The sequence below is a fragment of the Homo sapiens genome, chromosome 11, assembly GCF_000001405.40.
Source record: "Homo sapiens chromosome 11, GRCh38.p14 Primary Assembly".
Lineage (NCBI taxonomy): Eukaryota > Metazoa > Chordata > Mammalia > Primates > Hominidae > Homo > Homo sapiens.
Window position 1 is genome coordinate 72,130,495 of NC_000011.10, and position 26,021 is coordinate 72,156,515.

A 26,021-nucleotide genomic window follows, 5' to 3' on the forward strand; every position below is an offset into this window, starting at 1 on the left:
TCTTTACTACTTTTGCAATTTTTCTGTTAAGTCTAAAATTATCTCAAAACACTAAGTTAAGAAAATCAAATAAACTTGATGTCTTAAAACAATACCAATTAGGCTGGGCGCAGTGGCTCATGCCTGTAATCCTAGCAATTTGGGAGGCTGAAGTGGGCCGATAACCTGAGGTCGGGAGTTCGAGACCAGCCTGGCCAACATGGTGAATCCCCACCTCTACTGAAACTACAGAAATTAGCCTGGCATAGTGGCATGTGCCTATAATCCCAGCTACCTGGGAGGATGAGGCAGGAGAATCACTGGAACCGGAAGGCAGAGGCTGCAGTGAGCTGAGATCACACCACTGCACTCCAGCCTGGGGGACAGAGCAAGACTCTGTCTCAAAACAAAACAAAACAAAAACACAATACTTATTTACTTATACTTCAAGATTTTGTGAGTTTAATTATACTTCAAGATTTTGTGAGATTTTGCCCAAGAATTTGGGCAAGACTCATGATTGGCCCATCTTGGCCGGGCGTGGTGGCTCACCCCTGTAGTCCCAGTATTTTGGGAGGCCTAGGTTGGAGGATTGTTTGAGCCCAAGAGTTGAAGACCAGCCTGGGCAACATGGCGAAACCTCCTCTCTACAAAAATACAAAAATTAGCTGGGCGTGGTGGTGCGTGCCTGTAGTCCCAGATACTCAGGGAGGTTGAGGCTGCAGTGAGCCATGATGGTGCCACTGCACTCCAGCTGGGGTGACAGAGTGAGACCCTGTCTCCTAAAAATAAAAAATAAGGTAAAATAAAGATTGGCCCATCTACCCTCAACAGTTGCCTGGACTCCCTGGGGCTCAGTGCACCTAGATGCTGGACTCGGATAACCATCTGATCTTTGATGTAGTGGACAGACACTTTGTTCTTGCCATCATCTTTGGTACCTGAGATAGAAAGCCTTAAAGAGAGGCCACGCCCATGATTAAGTTTCAGGTCAAAACAACGAGCAAAAAGGCAACGGCTATAGTTGTAGGTGTAGCAAATCAGTGTGCCTTTTATCTAGAGGCTACTGAAAACCAGACATTCATTAAAGATATTCTGGTCACTTGGATGAAGGCTGGCCTTGGCATTCACCTGAATCTTTAGTAGAGTCTTTAGCACCATTGGCAACTCAGCCAGACCTGGCCTTGGCCACGATAGTGGAGCCTGGGATTGGAGGGCATGAATTTTATGAAGCCTGTAATATCAGAAATTCGTTGGTTGAGGACATACCTCTTTCTTTTTGGACCCTGTGGGCGTAATGCTATTGATACATGTGCAGAGGAGGAATTAATATGACTGTGATTGACAGAATAATTATGAAGTGCAAAGACCTCAGATCTGTGATCAGCTTCCATAGAAGTATTTGCTCAGAAGCTTCTCAGAAACATTCTCATGATTGAAGAAGCCTTGAAGAGCCCGTATTTCTGTCTATGAAATCTCCTGTTTATTGTACTATGAGGACCCATCAGAAAGTAACTGAGGTAGTGCTGATTTCCTGAGCAATTATTCAGTCCACTGTCTCAAATCCATCATGCAGAATGTTCACAGAGGGTAAAGTAAGTTTGACTATTATAACTACTCACTTTTATAAGTGATTTAATTTAAAGATTAATATGATAAGTACTCTGTTTTTCCTGGGAATTTTGTTGTAGAAAGAGTAACTGCTGTGTGGCTAAACTAAGGTTATAAGCCAAATTGTTTCCTCAGAGTTTAAGAAACACAATACTAACTCTCATGGGTTTACTAGTTGTCTGTTGCTGCATAACAAATCATTCCATAATTTTGTGGTGTATTGCTGCAGACAATGTTAAACTAAGTGGATGAAAAGGATATTCACATAGTCTCAGAGTGTCTCCCTACAAGGTAGGATTACTAACAAAGGGAAACTAATAATTATATAGTAAGGAAATCTCCTTAACCCAATAATCACCAGCAATAAGATGCAGCAACCCTCATCATGTACCTCTTGATATGATGCACTGACAAAAGCACCTCTCTTCTCTAATTTTCTTGCCAAAATGCATAAGCTCAAGCTAATTACAGGAAAATATAGACAAACCCAAATTGAGGGACATTCTGCAAAATAACTGAACAGTAATTCTCCAAAAGTGTCAAGGTCATAAAAGACAAAGACATTGAGGAACTGTCACAGATTGGAGGGAGACTAAGGGGACATGACAACTACATGCAACCTGGAATCATGGACTGAATCCTGGGCCAGAGAAAGGACATTGGGGGGGAAACTGGTGTAAAGGGCATAAAGCTTGTAGATTAGTTAACAGTATTGCCTCAATATTAATTTCCTGATTTTTTTAAGAACTGGGCTTTGGTTACATAAGATGCCAATATTTGGGGAAGTTGCATAAAAACATACGGGAAATCTTTTGACGATGTTTTGCAGTTTTTCTGCAAATCTAAAATTATTTCAAAACAAAAAGTTTAAAAATCAAATACACATAGTTGCTTGAAATAGTAACTATTTTATTATATTCCAAGATGTTGTGAGTCAGGAATTTGGCCAAAACTCAGGTGGGCGATTCTTCTGCAAAGACCCCCACAACACATTCAAAGTCACAGGCAGAGGTTGTTGGGGGAGGGCATTGAAAAGAAGAGAAGAGTCATAGGTGGGTGCAATGGAGGGAGGGCAGAGGGCTGCTGACTATGGTGCAGGACTCATCCATAATGGAGCCCTGGGGAGGCAAGGGCTTCATAACTAGACACTGGTCTTGTCACCTCAGACTCACCTGTAGCAGGACCAGATACTGAGGTCAGACTGAAAACACAGGCTCTGCCTCAGGAGAGGCTCTCTACTAGCTGAGTAAATGATGACAGTATTGGAAATGTTCCCAACATCATAATGGGAAAACATCACTTCACACTACATAAGCAATACACAGGGGCAGTGCCGGTCGTCTTCCCAGGTTAGTAGCAGTTCTACTGCCTCCAAGAGTGTTGGAGAAATACAAACCAAGCATTAGGCACTTTTAACTTGAAAACATGAAGTTCTCTTTCCTAACTTTCTTTGTTTCCTTATTTCTTCTTCTTCTTCTTCTCCTTCTTCTTCTTCTTCTTCTTCTTCTTCTTCTTCTTCTTCTTCTTCTTCCTCTTCTTCTTCTTCTTCTTCTTTCTTCTTCTTCTCCTTCTCCTTTTCCTTCTTCTTTTTTTGCTGAGACAGGGTCTCACTCTGACAGTACAGTGGTGCCATCACAGCTCACTGCAGCCTCGACCTCCAGGGCTCAAGCAATCCTCCCAGCTCACCCTCCCAAATGGCTGAAACTACAAGCTCGCACCACCATACGTGGCTAATTTTTCTATTTTTGTGTGCAGATGAAGTTTTCCTATGTTGCCCAAGTGGTCTCAAACTCCTGGGATCAAGTGATCCATCCACCTCAACCTCCCAAAACGCTGGGATTACAGGTGTAAGCCACCACACCCAGCCCACTAACTTTTTTATATCGGCTAATGAAATAGTTTTAAGTTTAGACCCTACGAGGCATAAAGAAATAATTTTAGTTATGTTATCAGATGTACAGTAATACTCAAGTGTGCAACTGTGGATAACTTGAGTTCATGAGGTTTTTGTTTTTTTGTCAAAAGAATAAATTTATAGTGAAACTACCCAAAAAAGCAAAGTACAGAACAGTATGCTACCATTTGTGCACAGAAATGGGATATATATGGTGTAACTGCATCGAATTTACTGGATGTATGTCCAGGGACCAGAACTCTTGGTGGCTTCATGTTCATACTTTTGCAAGCACATGTGTAGTATCCTTAACTTAAAGGTACTGTTGTATACATTCTAGTGTTATCAAAATTTACATACATATTATCAAGTCAGAGAGGTCATTCTGTGTCTTAGTATTTTCACTTCATATTTGGTATATTTATGTATGTATACACACATACCTATATGTATTTAAATAAGATTTATAGTCACATGGTCCAAAAATCAAAACAATGTGGAAAGGTTTACAGAGAAAAGTCTCAAGCCTAATCCTGTTCTCTACTGCCAGGTGACCATGTTATTAATTTCTTTTCATACCTTGCCACAGAATTTTCACCTGCAAACACAGATATTCTTTTCTTTTTTAATGACAGAGTCACGTTCTGTTATCCAGGCTGGAGTGCAGTGGCGTGATCTTGGCTCACTGCAAACTCCTCCCGGGTTCAAGTGATTCTCCTGTCTCAGCCTCCTGAGTAGCTGGGATTACAGGCATGTGCCACCACACCCAGCTAATTTTTGTATTTTTAGTACAGATGGGGTTTTATCATATTGACCAGGCTGATGTCGAACTCCTGACCTCAAGTGATCCGCCTGCCTCGGCCTCCCACAGTGCTGGGATTACAGGCGTGAGCCACCACGCCCAGTCAACACAGACATTCTTACTCCTTTTTTACAGAGAATTTATTATTATTATTTTTTACATAGCATTTTTCTGCACCTTTCTTTTTCCACTTAACAATGCACTTGAAGATTTTTCCATATTTGTACATCAGGAGCTTTCTCTTTCTTTGTTACCACATTAAATTCCACTGGGTAGATGTACCATAATTTAACTGGGTCCTTATTGAAAGACAATTGAGCTGTCTCCTAGACAAAGCCTTGTGCACCTTCCCGAACAGAGGGTCTAACCAAGCAGGCAGGATGGGGTTATAAAGTAGGTGGGGAGGTGGGAGAGACTCCACCTTCCCAGGTGGGCTGAGAATGGAGGTAAGGCCCTGCAACAGGACAGAGGGAAAAGTGGGGATGAGAGGTGGGAGGCGAGATAGCGCCCACTGTTCTCGCTCAGCCCCCTCCTCCGTTTGCCGCTGACCTGTTGGCCTCCCCCAACCTCTGAGCCTGCCTCTGCCTAGGTAATTTCCCAAGACCCAGAAGGGGTGAAGGGTGAGGTGTGATTGCCCCCACCTCCTTGCCTCCCGCAGCATCTGCTCCGGGACCATGAACAATAGCTGACAGCTCCATGGCCCTTGCTGTCCCCATCTCAGCTTCCCTGGGCATCTAAACCTCAGCTGCCATGGGGTAGGAGGACAGGCTGAGGAAGCAGAAGCCTGAGGCTGTCTAGAGTCTCACTCCTGCATCAGCAGGCCACCACCTGTGGTTCCTCCTTGTGCAAATTTGAAAAGAATTGCATAAAACACTGGAGAAATCCAAGAGGGGAAGTCCACAAGGGCGGTGGCTCCCTACAAGGTCACAGAGCAAGCTGGTGTCAGAGCCTGGACCTACAGCGCTGTTGGTGGAGGTCCTGCCTCCAGGTAGGGGAAGGGCTCCCTCTCACCTCTACACGCAGCGCATTTCTTGGCTCAGCTGCCCTGTAGGGGATGCAGGGTGGGGACAGCAGAGATCTGGGCCTGGGAGGGAGAGAGTACACAATCACATGGCTGTTGCCCCTGTCTCAGGCCTTGTCTACCTCTGACTGTGGCTCTCTGGCAGGAATAGATGGACATGGCCTGGCAGATGATGCAGCTGCTGCTTCTGGCTTTGGTGACTGCTGCGGGGAGTGCCCAGCCCAGGAGTGCGCGGGCCAGGACGGACCTGCTCAATGTCTGCATGAACGCCAAGCACCACAAGACACAGCCCAGCCCCGAGGACGAGCTGTATGGCCAGGTGAGGGCAGCCTGGTGTAGGACAGCATGCACACAGGTCAGAGGGTGATGGCACGAGCAATGGCAGGTCCAGTGTGGTCAGAACCAAGGGTGCCGCTGCTGACAAGGAAGGGGAGGGGCGGCCAGGGCCACCATGCCACAGGTAAGGCCACTGAGGCAGCTTGGGGAATATGAGCTCCAATTTGAACTCCAGGCTCAGGAGTGTGCTTGTATTTCATTCCTCTGGTCTCCTGGCCTGCTCCCTACAAGGTTTCACATTCCCAGAGGGCTGGGGATGTGCCTAGGGAGAGACTGTGGCGTGGACACAATCTGTGGGTTAAAGCGAAGACAGGACAGCCTGGAAGCCCCATGACATCTGAGTCACTCCCAACATTCCATTTGCTTATTTTTAAATCGGGGTTAAAAAAAAAAAACAAATACATAACATACATTTTCCACTTTAGCCATTTTTAACTGTACGGTTCAGTGGCATTAGGTATGCTCATGTGGTTGTGCAACCATCACCACCATCCATCTCCTGACCTCTTTCATTCTCCAAAACTGAAATGGAAACTCTGTGCCCACCACTTCATTTGCTTTTCAGAACCTTCTAGAGCACATCCTCCTTGCCAGGAAATGGTGTGGATGTAGACCTTTGAGAGAGACAGATGACTATCATTCTCAGGGCCATGAGCTATATGAGAGTGATGATATTTGTTGAGCCCTTACTATAGCAAGGGAGTTCTTCTCATTGTACTCAGTAACTCTTTTGGAGGCAACAACCCTTGACCCTGACAGGCAGGACCCATGTCTGCCAAACCCTAAGACCCATGATGTGCAAGGGGTCTTGCAGGAAGACCAAGAGTTGGAACATCCAAGGAAAAGCAAGTGTGAAGTCGGGCTGGCAGGGAAGCATGTTCTGTGTCAGCCGGCACTGGGCGTGGGCCAGGGTGTGGGAGGTGGGTAGGTCTGGCTCCCCTCCCATGGATTTCCCTATTGTTTCTCCTGGGTGCTCAGGCCTGTCACGCCTCTGCCATCACTTGACCCTAGGTGCAAGGGTTCAGCCCAGAAATTTTATGCAATTGATTCATGATTTCTCAGGTTTTCTGAGTCCTGGCCTAGAGTGACTTCCCAAGAAAAAACTCCACCATTTCTGCTTGTCTTACCTGCCTTGTATTTACCTTTCTAGGATTGCCTTTTCCACATTTAGTCAAGTCTAGGTTCAGACCCACGTGCAGGCTATAGCTCCTTCGTTCTCCACCACTCTCAGGATCTATCTAGAGTCTCCCCACCTGGACCTCCAGACCCTGGGAGAGCCAGACCAGCCCCTTGACCTCCACCCTCCCCCACAACCTGGGCCAGGTTCCTCTCCTCCCTGTCCTCAGTTATAATTTTTTTTTTTTTTAATTTGAGGCAGAGTTTCGCTCTTGTTGCCCAGGCTGGAATGCAATGGCATGATCTTGGCTCACTGCAACCTCTGCCTCCTGGGTTCAAGTGATTCTCCTGCCTCTGCCTCCTGAGTAGCTGGGATTACAGGCGCCTACCACTGTGCCTGGCTAATTTTTTGGTATTTTTAGTAGAGACAGGGTTTCTCTGTGTTGGTCAGGCTGGTCTCGAACTTCTAACCTCAGGTGATCCGCCCGCCTCCTTAAATCTTAACCTCACTGTTTACCATGGGTGTAGCTTACTTAAACTCTGTAAAAATGGGGGTAAGGATTCGTACTGGGTTGTTGAGAGGATAAAGCGCAAAAGCCTCAGGGACTTTGCACCTATGGTTTTCTATGCCTAGAGTGTTCTTTGTCTCCCTTCTACACACAGCCCACCCACCCACTAAAACCATACCCTCCCTGAGGGTAGAGGTGTTATTTGTTTTCTTCACTGTGGTGTTCCTAGGACCTAGCACAGTGCCTGATGTATAATCAGCACTCAGTTAATATTGGCTGGATGCAAAATGAATAATATAAATAAGCTGAATAACATGAAATAGGCCGAACGCGGTGACTCACGCCTGTAATCCCAACACTTTGGGAGGCCAAGGAGGGTGGATCACCTGAGGTCAGGAGTTCGAGACCAGCCTGGCAAACATGGTGAACCCCCGTCTCTACTAAAAATACAAAATTAGCTGGGCATGGTGGCACGTGCCTGTAATCCCAGCTACTTGGGAGGCTGAGGCAGGAGAATTGCTTGAACCCGGGAGGTGGAGGTTGCAGTGAGCCAAGATCACGCCACTGCACTCCAGTCTGGGCAACAGGAGCGAAACTCTGTCTCAAAAAAAAGTTAGTTTAATAACATGAGATCACTTTTTAAACCGTTAAGAGCTGTACTACTAATAATTACTCTCTCAGACAGTGGCTCTCCCTCATCTCCTATATCCCGTGGATTACCCTCTGTTAAAAGCCAAAATTAAGCAGGCATGGTGGCTCACGCCTCTAATCTTAGTATTTTGGGAAGCTGACATGAGCCAAGGAGTTTGAGACCAGCCTAGGCAACATAGTGAGACCCCATCTCTACAAAAATACTTTATATTAGCCAGGCATGGTGGCATGTGCCTGAATTCCAGCTCCTCGGGAGGCTGAGGTGGGAGGATTATTTGAGCCCAGGATGTTGAGGCTGCAGTGAGCTATGATCACACCACTGCGCTCCAGCCTGGTCAACAGAGCAAGACCCTGTCTCAAATAAATAAATGAATAAATAGGGCGGAAAGCACCAATATTGTAATTGCCTCCGTCCCCAGGTGGGAGCTCCTCAAGGGCCCTCCCCAGGAAGTGTTCCTCTGGATGACCTACCTGGGGCAGAGGAGCCAGAATATGGAGGAGATGGCTGTGGTGGGGAGAGACTTAGTCCTGTGTCTTCCCCACCCAGTGCAGTCCCTGGAAGAAGAATGCCTGCTGCACGGCCAGCACCAGCCAGGAGCTGCACAAGGACACCTCCCGCCTGTACAACTTTAACTGGGATCACTGTGGTAAGATGGAACCCACCTGCAAGCGCCACTTTATCCAGGACAGCTGTCTCTATGAGTGCTCACCCAACCTGGGGCCCTGGATCCGGCAGGTATGAGTGCTGTTCCCACAAACATTAACCTCAGCAGAGGGCGGAGCCTGCCAGTTGCTGGCAGGGAGGGCTTGGTCCAGGAATTCGGGTCTGAGGGTGGTGGACGCCCTGCCCCCTCCCACAGCTCTGGTCCCCTTCAAGGGTAAAGCTGCTGAGATACGTGGCTGACAGGAGTATTCTGTCTCCTCCCCACTCAGGTCAACCAGAGCTGGCGCAAAGAGCGCATTCTGAACGTGCCCCTGTGCAAAGAGGACTGTGAGCGCTGGTGGGAGGACTGTCGCACCTCCTACACCTGCAAAAGCAACTGGCACAAAGGCTGGAATTGGACCTCAGGTGAGGACCTGAGGAGATAAGATGAGGAGTGGGAGTGGGGCTTTGGGGTTGGGAGGGGTGCGGTCTGGCCCAGAAGCTAAGGGTCTTACGTTCTCCTCCCTCAGGGATTAATGAGTGTCCGGCCGGGGCCCTCTGCAGCACCTTTGAGTCCTACTTCCCCACTCCAGCCGCCCTTTGTGAAGGCCTCTGGAGCCACTCCTTCAAGGTCAGCAACTATAGTCGAGGGAGCGGCCGCTGCATCCAGATGTGGTTTGACTCAGCCCAGGGCAACCCCAATGAGGAGGTGGCCAAGTTCTATGCTGCGGCCATGAATGCTGGGGCCCCGTCTCGTGGGATTATTGATTCCTGATCCAAGAAGGGTCCTCTGGGGTTCTTCCAACAACCTATTCTAATAGACAAATCCACATGTGTCTTGTGTCTTGTAATTTCGGGACGAGTGGGTTGGAGGGACACATTGCTTCATCTTTTCCATTGACAGGCCCCAAATTGGGCTGGAACTAGCCTAATGTTCACTGGGAAGGAGGGTGTGGGGGTTGAGCTAGAATCCAGGTATCTGATCCGTTAGTCTGGGTCTCTTACCCCTGCACTGGCTTCCCCCTCATGCCAAGCTCATCCCACCGGCACTACACATGGAGAAAGACACAGACGGAGTGAAGAAGGGCAGAGATAGCCGATGAGTTATTGGGCTTCAAGTTGGGAAGAGAGTTTCTTTAGTGATGTGGGCTGGGTGGAGATATTGGTGGGGAGGAGGGTCTTGATGAACACTTGCCTTGTTTCCATTTATTTATTTATTTATTTATTTATTTATTTATTTATTTGCGACAGGAATCTTGATATATTGCCCAGGCTGGTCTTGAACTCCTGTGCCCAGACAATACTCCCTCCTTGGCCTCCCAGAGTGCTGGGATTATAGGCATGAGTCACTGTACCTGACCTGCTTTTTAAAAAAAAATGACAACTAATGTTGCAATTAACAATCTTTTACTTAGTGGAATGTTATACTTAAATTCCAGAAAGGATTATTGGGTCAAGAGTACATATAATTTTGAGAGTTACAACTTTATGGGGGTTGTATCAATGTGCCTCCCCCACCAGCAAAGTATGAGAGTGCCTCTTTCTCCACTGGGTGTGATGGCTCATGTCTGTGATCCCAGCAGTTTGGGAGGCTGAGGCAGGAGAATCTCTTGAGCCCAGGAGTTCAATATCAGCCTGGGCAACATGGTGAAACCCCAACTCTACAAAAAACTAAAAAATCAGCTGGGCATGGTGGTGTGTGCCTGTAGTCCCAACTACTAGGGAGGCTGAGGTGAGAGAATCGCTTGACTCCCAGCAGGCTGCGGTTACAGTAAGCTATGATCATGCCACTGCACTCCAGCCTGGGCAACAGGGCAAGACATTGTCTCAAAAAAAAAAAAAAAAAAAGAGAGAGAGAGAGAGTGCCTGTTTCTCCACAACCTTGTCAACCCACTATGCCATTAAACTTTGGTTTTCTGCTCATCTTACAGGTGGGGAAAGGGCAGCTCAGTGCAGTTTTCATCTGCCATTGTTCTGAGATCTTTCCATATTGACCTATTGATATGTTAAATTACCAGGTAGTAATCCATTCTAGGTGTACATTACATTGAATTCAGTCTCCTACTGATGGGCATTGGAAGGAATGGGGTTCTTTTATGATCCTGACATTGCTGAAAGCCACAGGCCAGTTATTTAGTAGAATACTCCTCCATTTGGGTTTGTCTGTTTCCTCATGATTCATTGAGGTTATGCGTTTTGGGCACAAATACCCTACATGGTTATCCCGTGCATCATAATGGGAGGCATGTGGTGTGGGGTTTGCTCATTCCTGGTGACGTTAACTTTGATCTTTTTCTTGAGATTGTGTCTGCCAGGTTTCTCCACTACACTTTCCCCTTTGTAACTAGCAAATATGTTGTAGAGAGAGACTGGAGAACTAGAGATACTCTATTCATCAGCACACTTCCACCTATATGTTCTAGTAGCTGATGGACCTTAAACATGTCTTACTATGTTACAGCTCTTTCACCAACCCTTCAATACTTTTCAGTGGTATCAACTGTAAAAACCAAACTTCTTCACAATAGCACAGAAGACCATGCCCCTCCTTTGAGCCCTCAAGCCAAATCTCTCCCACACCACCCCATAAATGAGCTCCAGTCACATTTCTCATGTTGGGGGTCTTTGCTCCAGCAACTCTTTCTCTGCATGCCTGAAATGTTCTTCATTAATCCTCTGCAGCCTAGCACTTTGTGGCCACTTAGATCACAACCTACAATCCCCCCCTAAAATGACTTCTGACCACTCAAACTGACAAACCCACCCAGCTGATTTCTCATCACACTACTCTATGTCCTTGTGCAGATTTTTATCTACTGTGTTTGTTGTCAGCCTTTTCCCTAACAAAACATACTCTCCCGAAAGCAGGGTTGTGTCTGTGTCATTTTATGCTACATCCCCAGGGTCTGGGTCAGTGCCTGGCACCGAGAATGTGCTCAGTAAGTTAAGGAATCGCTGCATCCATTCTGTCAGTCAACAATTCCTTCTGAGCATCCAGTCCACTGGCCCATGCTGGTCTCAGCCAACAGAAAGGGAATTGAGTTCCTTGCAAGGTCTGGTGGGGACAGACAGTTCTGAGAACCAGTGACTCTTAGAACAAGGAGATGAGGCTTTCACAGAGGGAAGCACAGAGTGTGGTATTATTCTGCTGAAGCCCAAAGAGGTCAGGGAAGGATTCCAAAGGAGTAATGTTTGCCAAGCACAAAACAGCACAGGGAATGGCATTCCATGGACAGGTCTCAGCAAGTGCAAAGGCTTAGAGGTAATAGAAGTGCAAGCAGAATTCCAGGGTGGCTAAGAGAGGTTGTGTGGGGAATGGGCAGCAGTTAAGGCCAAAGAAGAAACACTGGATCTGCATTCCTTAGGACGGTGCCCTGTGGGCCCCTCACAGAGCTTCTCTCCTGCAACTGCTAGGTATAAGAAGGCAGGCTTAGAATCGGACTGAGATCAGTAGTTTCTGCAGCTGGGAAGATGAGTGAGGTGAGATTGCATGTGTGATAGGCTGGCACTCAGGGAAGACCTCAGGGTTCTCTCCTCCCCACTCTGAGGCCCCTCTCCTGCTTCCTGAAGCCCAGAGTCTCCACCTCTGTGAGCCAAACACCTTCCTGTTATCTGCCTGGTCCTAGGGTAGCCTTCGGGTTGGGGTTAGAAGGAATGCCAATGGTTAACCTTGTGGTATTAAGCTTCCAGCTCAGGCAGATACTCTCTGGACTGGTTCAAGCTGACTGCCTGACTGTCCCTCCCTGCTGGCCCTAGCACCCAGACTCCAGATAGGCACACCACCTCACCCTTCAGAGCAGGGCTCTGAGACTCCACAAGTGGTGAGGACTTACCAGAGGAACTGAACTTGACCTCCAACCCAACCTTCCATTTGCTGGTATTATTCTGAAGCCCTCATGGCCCAGGGGCCTGCCTCAGGTAGCAGGTCTCACTCCTGCAGTGGAGGGGCCATAAAGTTCAGTTCATGATCAGCCCCCAAGCCAGGGGCAGCGGATGACAGGGCAGGAGTTCCATCTAGAGGAGCTCCTGTGTTCAGGCGTTCCTAGACACCTGCCTGCCCTTCTCCCATCAGCACTGGGGTATAAAGAAGGAAAGAGGCCTGAGGTTTCCAGAGGCCTCTACCTGCTGAGGTCTTAAGAGGACTCAACCCTCTGGGAAATACAAATAAAATCCTCAACCCTCCAAACAACTGAATGGACACCTCTTGGCCAAAGAGACCCCGGAAAAACTTTAAAATCCAAGTTTCCTGGCCGTGATGATAGGTCACTCACACCTCAGCACACCTGCTTCCTCACGAACCGTTACCAGGCTTCTTTCCCAAGAGCTAAACAGAAACCAGCCCTGAAAACCAAGAACAGGAGACTCCTTCACTGATTTCAATTTCAACCAATTCCGAGACTCCCTTCCCTTTCCTGATTTTGACATGACAGCTGATCAGCTTACAAAACATTCCTGGCTGATCAATGACTCTCAACCATGGACCAGTTCTGGCTGGTTTACAGAGGCAGCACACAAAGTGCTTTGGGTCCTGTGTTTCACATTTTGACATACAGAGCCTAATTCAACTGCATTTTAATGTCTCCACCCCGAAGTGAATATGGGACATATTTAACATGTTTTATTGGTACACATGTGTGCAACTCTCATGAATATTCATAAATCCTCTTAAAACTTATTAAATATATATGTTTAGCCAACTGATTTAGTGTAAAACCCCTGTCCCTTCAATTCCTAGCTTGTAGGTTGCAACCCATCAAAAGAAATAAAGCTCTCTTTTCCAAATGTAAAGATCTTATGATTTTAAGCCAATATAATTGAAGACAAGAGTAGGATCCATGGAGCAGCCCAGGTTCCCCCAGCCTAAGTGAATGCACAGGTGCCAGGTGGAGCCATTGACAGCTCATTTGTCTCCCTGACAGCTTTGGGAGGAAGGTGGGTAAGCTCTCCCCGATCTAAGATCTCTCACTTTTGAATTGAGATCTCGAGGACTTCATTTTTTTACCCTGATCCCCTCCATCCGGACCCTGCAAGTGCCATCTTTGTTGGTCCCAGGTTTCTAGATGGGGAGGTTGGGGGCAGTTAAGCCTGACTCATCCGGCGCATCAGCCCATCAGGTTTGGTGAGGATGCTTGCCCTCTAGTGGCACACGAAGGAATGTCTTATGCTTTTCTGGGGAATCTAGATTCTAAGGAGACAGTCCCAGACCAGCTGCCATCAGGAACATGCATGTTTCAGAATTATGAGAAAAAGTCTTGTGAATATTTTGGATCCTGGAAAAAAGCTAACCTGGAACAATATAAAGATTTATAGGCCAAAATGGAGAACTTTTGGCAGAATGTCTGACATGCCTAAATTAGTTTATTTGCATGCACAATAGGGTTCAGGACCTCTCAGAAGCAATGGGAGGTCTTTTTTTTTTTTTTTTTTTTGAGACAGAGTCTCACTCTGTCATGGGGAGTGGAGTGGAGTGGCACGAACATGGCTCACTGCAGCCTCGACCTCCCAGGCTCAATCATCCTCCCACCTCTGCCTCTCAAGTAGCTGGGATTATAGGCATGCACCACCACACCCCACTAATTTCTTTATTTTCAATTTTTAATTTTTTATAGACCATGCTGGTCTCAAATTCCTGGACTCAAGGAATCCTCCCACGGGAGACCATTTTTCAGTGTTATTATGAGAGCTCTAAACACAGTTGGGAGTCTCAGATAACCTCCTTAAATGAGACTAATTCAAAACTGAAGGAGTCTAATTCAAAACTTGACCAGCATATTCAAACCTATCTGCCACTATTGGACAGGTAGCTGAAGACACTGCAAAAAGCCTTATAGCCCAACAAATTGAATTCCCTGGCTCAAGTAGTAATAGATAATTTAATTGCTTCAGATTTTCTTTTACCCAAACAAGGAAGAGTCTGTGCAGTGGCCCATAACACCTGTTGCACTTACATCAACACTTCAGGTGAAGTAGAAACTCATATAGGGTTGGGCACAGTGGCTCACACCTATAATCCCAGCACTTTGGGAGGCTGGGGAGGGAGGATTGCTTGAGCTCAGGAGTTTGAGACCAGCCTGAGCAACATGGTGAAACCCTATCTCTACAAAAACTGCAAAAATTAACCAGGCATGGTGGCACATGCCTGTAATCCCAGCTATTTGGGAGGCTGAGGCAAGAGGATCACTTGGGCCTGGGAGGCATAGGTTGCAGTTAGCCTAGATCACGCAATTGCATTCCAAACTGATAAAGCAAGACTCTGTCTCAAAAAAAAAAAAAGAAGAAAAACTCATACAGAAAGAATTTCCAAACAAGCTAAATGATTACAAGAAATAAAACTACTGATCCTATCAATGATCTGTTCAGTTGGCTTTCTACCAAACAGAAATTCCTTTCAAGATGCTATTGAAGGCTGGGCGTGGCGGCTCATGCCTGTAATCCCAACACTCTGGGAGGCTGAGGCGGGTGGATCATCTGAGGTCAGGAGTTTGTGACCAGCTTGGCCAACATGGTGAAACCCCGTCTCTACTGAAAAATACAAAAAATTAGCTGGGTGTGGTGGCGACACCTGTAATCCCAGCTACTTGGGAGGCTGAGGCAGGAGAATCGCTTGAACCTGCTAGGCGGAGATTGCAGTGAACCGAGATCACGCCACTGCACTCCAGCCTGGGTGAGAGTGAGACTCCATCTCAAAAAAAAAAAAAAAAAAAAAAGGTGCTATTGAAGTTTTTGTTATAATTATAGTCTCCATCAAACTTTTCTTCATAACATTTAAATTACTTATAATATGGGACAGGCATGGGGGCTCAAGCCTGTAATCCCAGCACTTTGGGAGGTGGGCAGATCATTTGAGGTCAGGAGTTCAAGACCAGCTTGGCCAACATGGCGAAACACTGTCTTTACTAAAAATACAAAAATTAGCCGGGCATGGTGGCATGTGCCTGTAATCCTAGCTACTCGGGAGGCTGAGGCAGGAGAATTGCTTGAACCTGGGAGGCGGAGGTTGCAGTGAGCCGAGATCACACCACTGCACTCCAGCCTCGGCAACAGAGGGATACTCTATCTAAAAAGTAAATATAAATAAATAAATAACTTATAATATGTATAACCAACTGCTGTAAGTCTGCTGCTAAAACCAGAATTATGCTGGCTCAATGCATAGAACTTATAGACAAGTTAAATTGGTAGCCCTACCTTTTGGCCTTTATATTGCTTGATAGACCTTAGGGGTTGATGAGTACCTGCCCACCTCTATTTCTGTCTGGCCAAGATGTTCAATTGGCTGTAAGTCTCTTGGCCACAAGGGTCCCACCAAGGGACTGGATGGATCTGGAGCAGGTAGCCTCAGCATCCTGGCAACGACATGGTACAAACAATTTGGCCATTGATGCTGACTGTGGCAGATCTTGGCTAAAAGGAAGAAATGTGGAATAAAAAGAAAATCCAAAGACCCCTCAACTGACTGAACAAACCCCTCTTGGCCAAGGAGACCCCAGAAAAACTTTAAAATCTAGGTTTCCTGGCTATGATAAGACAGGAGGCTGGTCACACCTCAGTATACCCTCTTCCTTACTGTTACCAGGCTTTTTTCCTAAGAGTTAAGCAGAATCCTGTCCTGGAAAACAGAGAATGGAAGACTCCTCCGCTGACTTCAGCTTCAACTGCCTGATGCCATGGCCAGACTTCACTCTCTTTTTGTGATTTGACACGACAGCTGACCAGCTCACAAAGCTATCCTTCCTGATCAGTTCCTGTTAACCATGGGCTGGTTCTGGCTGGTTTACAGAGGCTGCACACAAAGTGCCTTTGTGTCCTATGTTTCACCTTTTGATGTGTATGGCCTAAGTCTGCATTTTAATGTTAAGTCTCAGCTGGGTATGGTGGCTCAATGCCTGCAATCCTAGCACTTTGGGAGGCCAAGGCAAGAGGATTGCTTGAGCCTAGGAGTTCAAGACCAGCCTAGGCAACATGGTGAGACCTTGTCTCTATTTTTTTAATTAAAAACAAAATACAAATATAAAAATAATTACTGTTAACTCTCCACCCCAAAGTGAACACAGGATGTATGTAACATGTATGTTTGCTTAGTATACATGCATGTGACTCCCTTTCATGAATATTCATAGCTCCTCCTATAACTTATTAATAAGTATACTAGCTAACCTATTTAGCATAAAACTCCTGTCCCACCTCTCCTCCCTCAAAGTGCCTGCTTTCCATCTCAGCCAGAGGCTCCACTTCCCAGCCTGCAGGTTACAACACAATATTAGTAAAAGTGTTCTTTCCAAGTGTATACATCTGGTGATTTTAAGTTGATACTTCCCAGGTTGTCCAAGATTCAGGTACAGCTCACTATTGCAGGATACAAGCTGGGATCTCCTGGGAGTTGGTCTCTTTGCAAATCGTATTATCTCTGTATCACCTTTTATGAAATCCTAAAAGAATTTAAATCTGAAACATGTGACTCCAAAGATTTTGAATAAGGAATTGTGAACCCATGGTAAACTCCTGGCTTAAGGGTGTCCAATTTTTTGGCTTCCCTGGGTCACATTGGAAGAATAAGAAAGTTTAAGAAAGTCTGTGAATTTGTTTTGGGGCACATTCAAAGCTGTCCTGGCCACATGAGGCCTGAGGGCTATAGGTTGGACAAGCTTCTAGCTGGCTATTTCTGCATTTTGTCCAAATCCATCTTTTAATTATTATCATTATTATTATTATTATTTGAGACGGAGTCTCGCTCTGTCACCCAGGCTGGAGTGCAGTGGCGCGATCTCAGCTCACTGCAAGCTCTCCCTCCCGGGTTCACGCCATTCTCCTGCCTCAGCCTCCCGAGTAGCTGGGACTACAGGCGCCTGCCACCACGCCCGGCTAATTATTTTGTATTTTTAGTAGAGAAGGGGTTTCACCGTGTTAGCCAGGATGGTCTTGGTCTCCTGACCTCGTGATCTGCCCACCTCGGCCTCCCAAAGTGCTGGGATTACAGGTGTGAGCCACCGCGTCCAGCTGAAACATAATTTTTCTCTTTTTGGTTTCACATTTTTACTAAAGACAAATCATGGTAAGACTGATTTGCTTTATTATACTTGGCCTGATTATTTGTGTAACGTGCAGCAAGAATACTTACTTTTCACATAGGCTTTTTAAGTTGGCTTTGATGGAACTTTGTTTTGTAGAAGAATCTCAGATTAGACTTTTTCTTTTAAGGCCGGGCTCAGGGGCTCACTCCTGTAATCCCAGCACTTTGGGAGGCTGAGGAGGGAAGATCACATCAGGAGTTCAAGACCAGCCTGGCCAACATGGTAAAACCCCGTCTCTACTAAAAAACACCAAAAACTAGCCAGGCATGGTGGCAGGTGCCTGTAATCCCAGCTACTTGGGAGGCTGAGGCAGGAGAATCACTTGAACCTTAGAGGCAAAGGTTGCAGTGAGCCAAGATCACACCATTGCACTCCAGCCTGGGCGACAGAGCGAGACTCTGTCTCAAAAAAACAAAACAAAACAAAACAAAACTTTTTTTTTAAAGCCGAGTTTGGCCATGCGGTTGTACCATCAAATACCTATGAGTTGGGTGAATTCCTCTTGAGAACCCAAGATGATTTGGGGCTCCTGGGTCTGTCAGAGAGTGACATTCTTTACTTGCCACAGGTCAGAAACCCTGCTCAGGATCTGTGTAGAAAAGGTATGAAGTTAGTTTTCCCAAGGGGCTCTTATCAGCTCTATAAGTCAAGTTTGATTCCTTAAAGGAAAGCACACCATTCCAGTCAAAGCCTTGGTAAAATAACTGGTTTCTCCAATTGTGTCCTGTTACAAAAGAAAACAGATTCTGGCTGGGCACAGTGGTCATGCCTGTAATCTCAGTACTTTGGGAGGCTGAGGTGGGCAGATCACTTGAGGTCAGGAGATTGAGACCAACCTGGCCAACACGGTGAAACCCCGTCTCTACTAAAAATACAAAAATTAGCTGCTTGTGTTGTGTAATTGGGTAATAAGAGATTTTAAAGAATTTTTTTTGTAGAGCACCATGGTTTAAAGTCAGCTTAATTAAAATTAGATATTCAAGCTCTAACAGCCTGGGACTCCTTGGGGAAAACAGGAGGCGCCAGAGACACCATTTTGGAAAAAAACCCTGTTTTCCTCTTGGAACCCCAGGAATTGAAAGCTGATAAATTCCTCTCAAAATTTAAGGCTTTGTTCTGTTTTGGATTGCAGTATCTGAAGTTTTTGACTTTTGGTCTATCAGAAATTATATCGCATTATGAGAGAGTTTTGGTGTGTAATAACTAGGTAGGAAATATACTTTAAGGAATGGCTAATGGAAATTATAGATGATCACGTAGCTCTTTGCATGTTTGGATTAGAGAAGCATGCTCTTGGCCACCTGGAAGGTATGGAAATACCTTTTTTTTTTTTTTTTTTTTTTTTGAGACAGAGTCTCACTCTGTCACCCCGGCTGGAGTGCAGTGGCAAAATCTCAGCTCACTGCAATCTCTGCCTCCTGGGTTCAAAGGATTCTCCTGCCTCAGCCTCCCAAGTAGCTGGGATTACAGGCACCTGGCACCATGCCCAGCTAATTTTTGTATTTTTAGTAGAGACGGGGTTTCACCATGTTGGCCAGGCTGGTTTTGAACTCCTGACCTCAGGTGATCTGCCTGCCTCGGCCTCCCAAAGTGCTGGGATTATAGGTGTGAGCCACCGTGACTGGCTGGAAATATCTTCTTATCTCCCACTGAGAGATAAGACTTCCACAGAAGATGGGCTGATTCCCCCTTTTTTGGGGAGGGATCCAGGGTCTGGTATAAAATGGGATCTTCATTTTGGGGGATCTGTTTTGCCTTCCAGCTGTGCCTGCTTATTAGGGCCAAAGGTACTTGGGAGTCCCAGCTATTTGGGAGACTCAGGCAGGAGAATCACTTGAATCCAGGAGATAGAGGTTACAGTGAGCTGAGATCACACCACTGCATTCCAGCCTGGGTGACAGAGTTAGACTCTGCCTCAAAAAAAAAAAAAAAAAAAAAAAAGAAAGAAAGAAAAAAGAGACAGATTATTTAGATTATTTATTTACTTACTTTTTTTTTGAGATGCAGTTTTGCTCTTGTCACCCAGGCTGGAGTGCAATGGCACGATCTCGGCTCACTGCAACCTCTGCCTCCCGGGTTCAAGTGATTCTCCTGCCTCAGCCTCCTGAGTAGCTGAGATTACAGGCACACACCACCACACCCAGCTAATTTTTATTTATTTATTTTTAGTAGAGACAGGGTTTTGCCATGTTGGCCAGGCTGGTCTTGAACTCCTGTCCTCAGGTGATCCACCCACCTCAGCCTCCCAAAGTGTTGGGATTACAGGCGTGAGCCACTGCGCCCGGCCAAGAAACAGATTCTTATTGCACTTATGCAAATAACTATATTGCTATAAGTTAAGAATACTCACACCTAGTTTCCTAATTCTGGAAAAATCAGGTAGAAAAAAACAAATATGCTCCAAATATGTTGCCAGAAGTATACTTTACTGAATTGTTTTTTTTTTTTTTTTTGAGACGGAGTCTCGCTCTGTCGCCCAGGCCGGACTGCGGACTGCAGTGGCGCAATCTCGGCTCACTGCAAGCTCCGCTTCCCGGGTTCACGCCATTCTCCTGCCTCAGCCTCCCGAGTAGCTGGGACTACAGGCGCCCGCCACCGCTCCCGGCTAATTTTTTGTATTTTTAGTAGAGACGGGGTTTCACCTTGTTAGCCAGGATGGTCTCGATCTCCTGACCTCATGATCCACCCGCCTCGGCCTCCCAAAGTGCTGGGATTACAGGCGTGAGCCACCGCGCCCGGCCTACTGAATTGTTAAAAGGTGTAAATAGCTCAAAATTTTTCCTGACTCTGAAAACAAAACAAAGTTTCAGCAGCATTTTAAGCAAAGTCAAAAACATTTCTTCAGTCTTCTATTTGTTCATTCCATGCAGTTAACTCCTGTCCTGTTTAATCGTCATGAACATTTCAGCTGTCCATGAGTCCTGAAAGTTTTTCCTCTATTCTGACGTCACAATCTCCAAACTTATCAGAAACCTGCATTCAAGAGAACCTGTCAAAATCCTATAGTTGATTATAAACCACCTTTTGAAGAGGATCAAAATAAGAAAACAATTGTCTGTGGTTGACAGAAGTCTTAGGACAGCCACTATTTAAGCCACAATTGAAAAGGAAATGTGGGGGTGGGCACGGTGGCTCACGCCTGTAATCCCAGCACTTTGGGAGGCCGAGGCAGGCAGATCACCTGAGGTCAGGGATTTGATACCAACCTGGCCAACATGGTGAAAATCCGTCTCTACTAAAAATACAAAAATTAGCTGGGGATGGTGGTGGGTGCCTGCAATCCCAGCTACTGAGAGTCTGAGGCAGGAGAATCGCTTGAACCTGGGAGGTGGAGTTTTCAGTGAGCTGAAATTGTGCCACTGTACTACAGCCTGGGTGACAGAGTGAGACTCTGTCTCAAAAAATAAAAAAGAAAAGAAAAGGAAATTTTGGTTAGTTCTGTGACAACAATTTTACATAACAATTATGACTATTAATAACATACACTAAGTTATCAAGGAATTATGGGTGTTTTCCATAATTTTGGAACATGTCCAATAACATATTTATGCAAATATAGGCCAAAGAAAGCCAAATACTATTTCACATTTGACGATGCTTCCTTTATGGATTTTATACTGAATAAGCCAAATTTCACCTTTACGTTAGTGTACTATTAATGTTAAACCCAATTCTTTAATAAAACCTTTTAGACAAATTTATTTAATCTTAATCAGTTTGACCATAAAGTAAGATTCTTATAAACTTTTGTTTCCTCACCTCCCCAGAAAAGTGGATCCTAAACCTTTTATAACCCTTTACAATTTTTGTGAACGAGCAGATTAATGCTCTAAGAAAAACCTGTTGTGCTTTTATTCCAATGTTTGATTTATAGAAAAAATGAATACCCCTTTAACTTTAGCCAACATGTTCACACAGAATTTCTTTTATGACATTAATTTTTCACAAACCTCCCACAATTTGTTCAAGCCTTCAGCTTTATCTCATCTAAAACAATCCTTTAACCCTTTAATCTAGGCAGAAAAATCCACATTCCCATGACTTCTTATAATCTTTTACCAAAAACACATTTCACTTTCCTTACACACCTTGCATGTAAAACTGATGTTATTTCCCAAAGATTACTAAAGGCATATAAACTAAAAGGCATCACAGTTTTTATTTTTCTAATAAAATATTTGATTTAAGCTCTTATTATTTTTTAACCTATTAATCAAAGCTCTTTTATATCTCACACACACAACATATATAAATACACAGACCAGAAGATCCAGTAGTTGTAAGAATTTTCATTTGCCAGTTTCTTTTTCTTTCTTTTTTTTTGAATCGGAGTCTTGCTCTGTCGCCCAGGCTGGAGTGAGGTGGCTTGATCTCGGCTCACTGCAAGCTCCGCCTCCCAGGTTCACGCCATTCTCCTGGCTCAGCCTCCTGAGCAGCTGGGACTACAGGCTTCTGCCACCACGCCTGGCTAAGTTTTTGTACTTTTAGTGGAGACGGGGTTTCACTGTGTTAGCCAGGATGGTCTCGATCTCCTGACTTCGTTATCCACCTGCCTCGGCCTCCCAAAATGCTGGGATTACAGGTGTGAGCCACCGCGCCCGGCCATCATTTGCCAGTTTCTTAATTGGATTACTGACTTTAGGGTGGAGCCCTTGGGGGAACAAGGTCAGGAAAGCATGCAGTTTCTACAGCCTAATAAGCAGGCAAGCTGGAAGGCAAGACAGATCCCCCAAAATAAGGGTCCCATTTTATACCAGATCCTGGATCCCCCCCACCAAAAAAGGGGAAATCAGCCCATCTTCCGTGGAAGTCTTATCTCTCAGTGGGAGATAAGCGGGTATTTCCATACCTTCGAAGTGGCCAAGAGCATGCTTCTCTAATCTAAATATGCAAAGAGTTAAGTATTCACCAATAACTTCCACTGGCCATTCCTTAAAGTATATTTCCTACCTAGTTACTACACACCAAAGCTCTGTCATAATACGATGTAATTTCTGATACCACCAAAAGTCAAAAACATCAGATACTGCAATGCAAAACAGAACAGAGCCTTACATTTTGAGAGGAATTTGTCAACTTTCAACTCCTGGGGTTTCAAGAGGAAAACAGAGTGGTATTTTTTTTTTTTTTCCAAAATGGTGTCTCTGGCACCTCCTGTTTTTCCCAGGGAGTCATAGGCTGTTAGAGTTTGAATATCCTGCTTTAATGAAGCTGACTTTTAACCATAGCACTCTTAAAAATAAAAATCCTTTAATGTCTCTTATTACCCAACTTCAGCCATGCCAAACTACCAATATTTCTGGCTTCTGAACTTTACCAAAGGCAAACTCCCAGGTACTCGGAGAAAAAAAATTCAAGACAGTTTGTGGAGGGAAAGAGAATCTACAAATGTTCAGACAGATCTCAAACTAGAAAGGACTCATTCCCTAAGCTGGGGATTGAACCCTGAACCTGGGCTGCCACTGTGAAAAGACAGTCTTAGCTGCTGAGCTACAGCATTGGGCAGTCTCCATTGCCCTTCCCAGAAGGAGGCTAGAGTCACCAATTTTGAGCTTGCAAAGGCTTTTATCTGATCAAGATAATTTTTAGGAGTAACTATGGCATGAACCCCAAAACTCCTGTCTGCTGGATGGTAGAAACGAAGAGAAAGTATCGCCACGTGGTTACAAGGTGAAGCTCCCAAGGACATAAAACAAGACGAAAGAGAAATTTCATCCAGCTTTTCAGGGACCTTCAGCAAAGTTTATAACTGATCAGTTTGCTTGGCCATTTTGAACAGCGGGCTTACAGGCGTCATAGTGAGAGACAGGACTAGCTGGATATCCTAGGCCTACTAAGAATCCCTAAGCCTAGCTGGGAAGGTGACTGCATCCACCTTTAAACACGGGGCTTGCAACTTAGCTCACACCCGACCAATCAGGTAGTAAAGAGAGCTCACTAAAACGCTAATTAGGCAAAAACAGGAGGTAAAGAAATAGCCAATCATCTATCGCCTGAGAGCACACTGGGAGGGACAATGATAGGATATAAACCCAGGCATTCAAACCAGCAAGGGCTACCCTCTTTGAGTCCCCTCCCTTTGTATGGGAGCTCTGTTTTCACTCTATTAAATCTTGCAACTGCACACTCTTCTGGTCAGTGTTTGTTACGACTCGAGCTGAGCTTTCACTTGCCGTCCACCACTGCTGTTTGCCGCCATCGCAGACCCGCCGCTGACTTCCACCCCTCCAGATCTGGCAGGGTGTCTGCTGTGCTCCTGATCCAGTGAGGCACCCATTGCCGCTCTGGATTGGGCTAAAGTCTTGTCATTGTTCCTGCACGGCTAAGTGCCCGGGTTCATTCTAATCGAGCTGAACATTAGTCGCTGGGTTCCACAGTTCTCTTCTGTGACCCACGGCTTCTAATAGAGCTATAACAGTCACTGCATGGCCCAAGATTCCATTCCTTGGAATCTGTGAGGCCAAGAACCCCAGGTCAGAGAACAAGAGGCTTGCCGCCATCTTGGAAGCGGCCTGCCACTATCTTGGGAACTCTGGGAGCAAGGACCCCCTGGTAACAGTAGGCTTGCATTCTATCCTAAGGTACCCTTCTTTATGGCAGAACAATATAGACACACAAAGCACACCAGATTCGTTACAGCTTAAGGCTAGCCTCACAAGTCTTTTTTCTCATTAACCAAAACTTGCCTGTGGTAAGGTGGGGAAAGTGAAGAGCTCAGGAAGACCAGAGAAAGACTCACCTATCCCAGTGACACTGAATCAAAAGTTCAGGCAGCCGCTCATTGGTTAAGAAGGGATCTTTTCCAGGAGTTGCATCAGCTCTTAAGTGTCCCCGTTTGGGGAGCAAAAAGCTCTCATGTCCCAGGATCCTGTACATACACAATTCTGTCACCCACAGCCATCAGCAAAGATTTCAAGGTAGATTAATCCAAAGAGAATAGCAATTAATATCCCATGGTGCTAAATCCGTTCTTAGCCAAGAGGAACTTTACTCTGAGAGGGGCTTCTAACTCCCTAAATCTTAGAAGGGACTCTAACACTCCTGAGTTGGGCCTCAAACCAAAGTTCAGTCAAGTGTCCTTGCCTTTTATTAAGAGGGGCCTTTAACCCACTCTGTCTTAGGAGAGACTTTAACTCCCCTAAGTTGAGCCTCTAACCCAATTCCATCCTTTACCTGGGTACCCCGCCACTTACCCTAGATAGCCAATTGGTGCTGCAGTCTATTTCCTTTGGGTAGGGTGTCTCCTCAGGGTTCGACAGGAAGATGTTACCAGAAAGGGATCCAGATCCAGACCCCAAGAGAAGGTTCTTGGATCTTGTATAAGAAAGAATTTGGGGTGAGTCCATAGAGTAAAGTGAAAGCAAGCTTATTAAGGAGGTAAAGGAATACAGAATGGCTACTCCATAGGCAGGGCAGTGGCTTGAGCTGCTCCACTAAGGATACTTATTGTTACTTCTTGATTATATGCTAAAGAAGGGGTGGATTATTAATGAGTTTTCCAAGGAAGGGGTGGCCAATTCCCGTAACTGAGGGTTCCTCTCCTTTTTAGACCATTTAGGGTAACTTCCTGATGTTGCCATGGCATCTGTAATCACGGCACTGGTGGGAGTGTCTTTTAGCATGCTAATACATTATAATTAGCATATAATGAGTGATGAGGATGACCAGAGGTCACTTTGGTCGCCATCTTGGTTTTGGTGGGTTTGGGCTGGCTTCTTTACCACAGGCTGTTTTATCAGCAAGGTCTTTGTGACCTGTTATCTTGTGCTCACCTCCTAGCTCATCCTGTCACTTGGAATGCCACACCTCCTGGGAATGCAGCCCAGTAGGCTTCAGCTTCATTTTACCCAGCCCCTATTCAAGATGGGGTTGCTTTGGTTGAAACGCCTCTGACAGACCCACCAGAGGAGCCCTTCAGTTTGTATTAATATGATATGTGACTACTTATTTCACAGACACTGTGTGTCAAATGTCGGTACAATGCCAACAACTCACTTTCTTGGTTGTTGAGTTTCCGCATTACACAAATAAGGAAGCAGGCCCAGAGGAGAGCCTGGGAAATGAAGTTGGAGAGACCCATCCTGGGGTTGCTTGATTTAGGGATTTAGACTGGGAATGACTCCTCCATAGATCTGAAAGAAGAAACTGCACACTGTTCATAGTGGCTTCTTTTCTGCCAGCCCTAAACAGCTCAAGAAAGGAGAGTCTCTCAGTTATGAGGCTGGGTGTGAAGCATTTTTTTTTTCTTTGAGAGAGGTCTTGTTATGTTGCCCAGGCTGGTCTCCAAATCCTGGGCTCAAGCGATCCTTCCACCTTGGCCTCCCAAAGTGCTGGGATTACAAATGTGAGCCACCACATCCGGCCTGAAGCATCTTGGTTCATGCATCT

General features: G+C 45.6%; 1 protein-coding gene and 1 pseudogene across 2 annotated transcripts, besides 3 other annotated features; both read left to right on the plus strand.

Annotated features, from left to right (window-relative positions):
• Positions 788 to 1,415, plus strand: RPEP6 (ribulose-5-phosphate-3-epimerase pseudogene 6; annotated as a pseudogene).
• On the plus strand, positions 5,231 to 9,398 carry FOLR3 (folate receptor gamma). 2 transcript variants are annotated; one of them, NR_178088.1, is made up of 5 exons: positions 5,231 to 5,274; positions 5,453 to 5,626; positions 8,339 to 8,655; positions 8,853 to 8,988; positions 9,093 to 9,398. NR_178088.1 is itself a non-coding variant. In NM_000804.4 (5 exons), the coding sequence occupies exons 2-5, from the start codon at positions 5,459 to 5,461 to the stop codon at positions 9,335 to 9,337; spliced, it is 738 nt and encodes a 245-aa protein (NP_000795.2). In that variant the 5' UTR covers positions 5,231 to 5,274; positions 5,453 to 5,458; the 3' UTR covers positions 9,338 to 9,398. The 2 variants fall into 2 exon arrangements, 1 of the variants encoding a protein (NP_000795.2); NM_000804.4 differs by having other exon boundaries at positions 8,467 to 8,655.
• Positions 8,337 to 8,840: an enhancer, noted in NCBI's record as "H3K4me1 hESC enhancer chr11:71849877-71850378 (GRCh37/hg19 assembly coordinates)". NCBI's record gives its function as "activates a minimal SCP1, AML or CMV promoter by ChIP-STARR-seq in primed H9 embryonic stem cells {active_cell/tissue: H9 hESC(primed)}" and the evidence as "EXISTENCE:reporter gene assay evidence [ECO:0000049][PMID:30033119]".
• Positions 11,962 to 12,162: a silencer, noted in NCBI's record as "peak1339 fragment used in MPRA reporter construct". NCBI's record gives its function as "represses an SCP1 promoter by STARR-seq MPRAs in K562 erythroleukemia cells {active_cell/tissue: K562}" and the evidence as "EXISTENCE:reporter gene assay evidence [ECO:0000049][PMID:32103011]".
• Positions 16,197 to 16,397: a silencer, noted in NCBI's record as "peak1340 fragment used in MPRA reporter construct". NCBI's record gives its function as "represses an SCP1 promoter by STARR-seq MPRAs in K562 erythroleukemia cells {active_cell/tissue: K562}" and the evidence as "EXISTENCE:reporter gene assay evidence [ECO:0000049][PMID:32103011]".